The sequence below is a fragment of the Homo sapiens genome, chromosome 2, assembly GCF_000001405.40.
Source record: "Homo sapiens chromosome 2, GRCh38.p14 Primary Assembly".
NCBI classification, from domain to species: Eukaryota; Metazoa; Chordata; class Mammalia; order Primates; family Hominidae; genus Homo; species Homo sapiens.
In genome coordinates this window covers 82,852,109-82,858,313 of record NC_000002.12, presented here as the reverse complement: position 1 = coordinate 82,858,313, position 6,205 = coordinate 82,852,109, and the positions used below count along the sequence as shown (strand labels likewise).

The 6,205-nt window shown below is 38.5% G+C and overlaps 1 pseudogene across 1 annotated transcript; it reads right to left on the bottom strand.

The window, feature by feature from the left end:
• Nucleotides 1-544: 544 nt before the first annotated feature.
• On the bottom strand, nucleotides 545-1,511 carry DHFRP3 (dihydrofolate reductase pseudogene 3; annotated as a pseudogene). The gene has a single exon (NR_033423.1). The product of NR_033423.1 is annotated as a dihydrofolate reductase pseudogene 3 (transcript).
• Between the last annotated feature and the right edge of the window lie 4,694 nt (nucleotides 1,512-6,205).

Genomic DNA, 6,205 nt, shown 5'->3' with positions numbered 1-6,205 from the left:
CTGCCTGGGGAACAAAAGTGATGCTCTGTCTGAAAAAAAAAAATAGTATGAAGAGCTTACATACTTAAACATGGAATTGCTTTAAGTGTTTGGCATTCACTATTCCCGTGCATGCCAGCAGCTTCTTATTGCAAACACTTGGGACTTGCTATAGCGCAGCTGGAATACTTTCCCGCCACTTGCAGGACAGGGAGCTGACAACCAAGGAGTGGCTGATAAATACTCCAGCTTTCTCCCCTCGGTTTCCCTGTATCTCAGCAGTATGGAGCTTGTTACCAATGAGAACCTGCTTACTGACTTTAAACTGGTTTCCTTACCTTCTCAGTTCCATTTCTCCATACCTCAATTGATGATTTCTGGTAAGACCTAGCAAGTAAACTGCTTTCACTGAAATTTCAGTCTTGGAATCTGCTTTGGGTTCCCCAGTCTGAGACAGAAATATATTCATTTTTCAATCACTGGACTTCCAGGTTGTTTTCAATTTTTTCACTGTTACAAACAAGCCTGCAACATTTGTCTACAAACCTCTGGATACACACACAGGAAGTTTTTGGTATTTCCCACTAGTGAAACTGCTCAGTGGAAGGGTATGTGCATCTTCATCTTTAATAAACACTACCGACATTTGAAAAGCCCGAAAATGTCAAGGACTGGCAAGAGTGCCACATGTGAAGGTTGTGGAATGGCAGCTCACTGTAGCACATGCTGGGGACTCAGTCAGGGTCTTGGGGAGGCACTTAGTTACAGCAAGAATGTTTCATAAATGGTATCAGATATAGTGTAGGTTACTGGGGAATAAGAACACATTGCTTAGAAATAATTATCCGTAGATTTAAAGTCAACATAAGTATTTTTTTTCTAATTTAAAAATACCTACTTTTTTCAGAGGGAGGGGGAACAACTTAAACCAGAAAACACCTTCATATTAATCATTCTTCTCATGTACTTCAAATTTGTACTTAATGCCTTTCTCCTCCTGGACATCAAAGAAAACACCTGGGTATTCTGGCAGAAATTTATATTTCTCCAAATCAATTTCTGGAAAAAACGTGTCACTTTCAAAGTCCTGTATGATCCTTGTGACAAATAGTTTAAGACTGCTTGAGTGATTCATGGATTCCTTATAAAATAGAACTACCACCAACTATCCAAATCACGTCTACTTTATTTGCTAATTCTGGTTATTAAGTTTTAAGGCATCATCCAGACTTCTTGCAAGAAATTGATCTCCTTGTGGAGGTTCTTGTGGTCCCTCCTGAGAACTAAATTAATTCTATTCTTTAAAGGTCGATTCTTCTCAGGAATGGAGAACCAGATCTTCCTACCCATAATCACCAAATTCTGTTTACCTTCTACTGAGGAGGTTGTGGTCACTCTCTGGAAATACCTGAATTCATTCCTGAGCGGTGGCCAGGGCAGGTCCTCGTTCTTGCCGATGCCCATGTTCTGGGGGGACACAGTGACGACGCAGTTTAGCAAACTAACCATGACAGCAGCGATGAGCACCTCCGAGCCTGCTCACTACACCAAGATGCACGGCCAAGATTGGCCTATTTTATTTTTTAATTGACAACTAATAATTGTACATATCCGTGAGGTTTATAGTGATGTCTCAATACACATAATGTACAGTGATCTGATGAGGATAATTAGTATATCCATCATTTTAAATATTTATCTTTTTTGTGTTGGAAATGTTCAATATTCTTCTAGCTACTTAAAACTATTTAATATATTATTGTTAACTATAATAATTCTACAGTGCTATAAATCCTAATAATAGCCAAACAATGTGGCTTCTTTCAGCTTATGTGTAAGCTGAAAAGGCAGTACATGTCAGGATATGAGTAATACTGAATGTACATGTCGGAATATAACTGATACTGAACATAACCTTGCTTCTCCTGTAGCAGAACAACATTAATATTGACAAGAACAATATCAACAACAACAACAACAACCACAACTAAAACAATATTCCCTGTTCTGGTAATTCATAAACACTATCAGTTCTCAAGCTCCCTCCTTGCATGTTTTTCTTCTTTATTTCTTACATTGCATTAACTATTTGCTTGGGTAAAATTATGACATAAGGTTAAATTATGGATTATAAATCATAAATGCCCTCCAATACACAGACATAGACACTAGTGCTTATTTTTCAAATACGTATATATAATAGATAACTATATAAGAAAATTTATATGTATAAATGGCTCTGCAACTTTCTGAAATTTATAGTTATATATTACACAGCATTCCATATTAATAAATATAGATTACTCAATTATTTTGAATCAATAAGTATTAATCACATACCTTCTATATGTTATACTAGGCATGAGGAAGCTGAAAATAAAAGATAAAATCTCTGCTCTCAGATTTGCACAGTTGAGAAGGAAAGATCAAGAATAAAGAGGGAATTTTTATGAAGTGAATTAAATGCTATAAATATACAAGCACAGGATACTATGTAGTCAGAGGTGAAATACTCAATTTATATTAGAATTTAAGAGGGAGGCTTTAAATTTTTTATTTTATTTTATTTTATTTTAATAGAGGTGGGGTCTTGCTCTGTCACCCAGGCTGGAGTGCAGTGGTGTGAACATAGCCCACTGTAGCATTAAACTCCTGACACTCTCACCTTAGCCCCTCAAAGGGCTAGGGTTACAGCCATGAGCCACTGTGTCCAGCCCTACTTCTTGAGTCAAGATAATGTCTAGGCTAGATCTAAATGTATGTAAGGGAAAAAGGGCAGGAAGAACCTTTCAGGGCATCCTCAGCAATTACAGAATATGTGAAGTCTGGGACTTGTAAAAAAAGAATATGAAATACTAGGATAATAGTAAATTTCTCACAATTATTTTTGAAAGTTTGCAACATCAAAACAGGTGCTCCTGGAAGGGTCAGCATCTTGGGTCAAGTCCTGCCAGAAACAGACCCTGAGGTGCAGGTTCTTGAGCAAGGAATTTATTAAAGAAGAGCTCCCAGAACCTGACTAATCTTACATCCACAAAGCAAAAAAGGGAAGGAAAACATGCTGAGAATGTGCATTTCCAGACAAAAATACTGAAAAGATGCCATCAGCCTTATCAGGAGCAGGCATTACTGCTCAGAGTTTGTTCCCCATAAAGTTAAGGAAGCTTGCTCTCCATCCTCCTGCAGCAGCTATTAATTGGCTAAGACCCACCCTGGAGATCCAAAAACCGCAGTCACTCCAGTCTCTCTGATAAATGGGGAAGGTGGTTTCAGTAGTCCAGGATGGCATTCCAAAGAAAGCCTGTGATGCAGGCTGTTAAGGCAAAGACCCAAAGAAGCCATGAAGAGGCACATAGAAATGAATTAGAAGGTCTGAGGGAATCTGTGAAAGTACTCACATGGGTCATTACAGGTGGACATAAAGGAATCTTTCCTAAGTAGGTTTCTGTCATGGCTAATAAAAAAGCCAGACTACACCAAACTAAAGATCATTATTGATGAATAATTTACATATCATAAAATTCACCCATTTTAAGTGTACAATTTAATGATTTGTAGTAAATTTTCTGAGTCCTGCAACCGTCACTATAATCTAGTTTTAGAACATTTTGCTTATTCTGGTAAGATCCCTCATGCCAGTTAACAGTTTATCCCCATTCCCTTTCCCACTCTCAGTCCTAGGTAAACACTAGTCTGCTTTCCTCTTCCATAGATTTGCCTTTTCTGAGCATCTCATATGAGTAAAATTCTTAACACATGTGGACTTTGGAGCCTGGCTTCTTTGTATATTATACTTAATATGTTTAACTAATTGTACCGAACACCCACTTCACCCACTTTTATGTCAGATATTATAAAGTAGGCTATTAGTGACATATGTATGAGAGAGAAGAGATCGCATGCTCTAGTGAGGAAAATAGAGTAACCAGGTAATCCTACAAATATATTTTTCAAATTTCAAATAAGTTTTATGATGCTCTGGAAGTTTTGGAAAGGCTTGACATGGGAAACAATATTTGACTGAGTCTAAAGGATAGCAGTTAGCTAGGCAAACAGTGAAGCATTTCAGATAGAAGGAATCAGGATGTGTCCACTATCAAGAGGGAACAGGTTCAATACAACTGACTGAAAACATGTTTTTTGGCTGGCTGGAGTCTGAAAAGTAAGAAAGAATGGTAGAGACAAGGCTGGAGGGAAGCAGGGGCCAGGTCGAGTTGAGTCATATTAAACCACGTTAAAGATTTTGGTCTATTTTAAGACCAACAAAAGCAATTAGTGTGTTTTAAATTGCGTTTGTTTAGAAAGACCCATTCCATAGCAGCAACAAACTTTTAAAAAATGTTTTCAAAATATACTTTCTAAGCCAGGGATTCCCAAACCTTGGGGCATGGACTGGTACCATGGTCTGTTAGAACCTGGGCTGCCCAGCAGGAAGTGAGCAGCTGGCAAACAAGTAAAACTTCATCTGTATTTGCAGCCGCTCCCCACTGGTCACATAACCACCTGAGCTCTGCCTCCTGTCAGATCAGTGGTGGCATTAGATTCTTACAGGAGTGCAAACCATATTGTGAACTGTGTATATGAGGGATCTAGGTTGCATGCTCCTTATGAGAATCTAATATCTGGTGATCTGAGGTGGAACGGAGGCAGTGATGCTGGTGCTGGGGAGAGGCTGCAAATACAGATTAACATTAGCCGAGAGGTTTGACTGCATAAAGACCATAATAAATCAATTTCTTGCAGACTCGTATCAAAACCCTATCAGTGAGTGGCAAGTGACAAGCCGCATCCGGTGGCAGGCTTTATAGTGGCAAGTGATGTTATCTAACGAAGCCATGAAAACTTCAAAACTGCTTTGCCACATGGAAACCAAGTACCCTGCATTAAAAGATAAGCTTTTGATGTACTTCAATTGTACAGCTGCATCTGATGGTTGGCTTTATAATGGCAAGTGAGTTGATGTACTTCAATTGTACAGCTGCATCTGATGGCAGGCTTCAAGTCAGAATTCAACAGTTATTTTAGACTGTTCATGACCTGCCCATTATTTTATTTGCTGCTTCCATCCATGCCTCTTTCCTGCACTGCACACTTAGTCACAGTTTTGGTAAACTCACAAGCTAAAGTTAGCCAAAATTAGTAAAAAACAAACATCACTGGAGAGCTTCTTTGAAAAGGGGGAAAGATGCAATGATGAGGCAGCAGAAGGATCTGTGACTGCCAACAACAACAACAAAAAGCTGCATTTAAAAGAAAATACCAAGAGTCCTACTTAAATTACAGGTGCGTTGCAGCAGATGATTCACATTCTCCAAGCCCACTTTGTATAATATGTGGTTACTGGTTATCTAACGAAGCCATGAAACCTCCAAAACTGCATTGTCACATGGAGACCAAGTACCTTGCATTAAAAGATAAGCCTTTGGAGTTTTTCTAAAGAAAAAAAAATGAACGTGAAGAACAGAAGCAATTATTAAAGGTCACTATTTCATCAAATGTGTCTGCACTGAGAACATCATTCTTAGTGGCTAACCACATTGCTAAAGCTAAGAAGCCCTTACTGGTGAAGAGTTGATCCTACCTGCTGCTAAGAACATTTGTCACAAACTTTTAGGAGATGCTCCAGTTCAAAAGGTGGCACGTGTTCCTCTTTCAGCTAACACCATAACTAGACAAATTGATGGAATAGCAGAAGATATGGAAAAACAATTATTAGGGAGAATTAATGTCACCATGGTGTGCAATCCAAGTTGACAAGTCCACTGATGTTGACAAAAAAGGCAACAATGCTTGTTTTTGTGTGATATATTTTTCAGGATGATACACATTGGGATATGTTATTTGCACTTTTGTTGCCAACCAACACCACAGCTGCAGAAATAATTCAAGTCTTTGAATGATTATGTATAAGGAAAACAGAATTAGTCATTTTATATCAGTATATGCACTGATAAAGCAGCTGCCATGACTGGATGGCTTTCTGGTTACACTACTCAGGTCAAAGAAGTATCTTCTGAGTGTGAGTCTACACACTGTGTTATCCATAAAGAAATGCTGGCTAGCCAAAAAATGTCACCTTAGCAATGTTTTGCAGGACGTGATTAAAATTATCAGTGACATAAAAGTACATGCCCTTAATCCACATCTGTTTGCACAGCTCTGTGGGGAGATGGATGCAGAGCACATACATCTTCTCTTATACACAGAAGTGAGTTGGCTTTCTAAA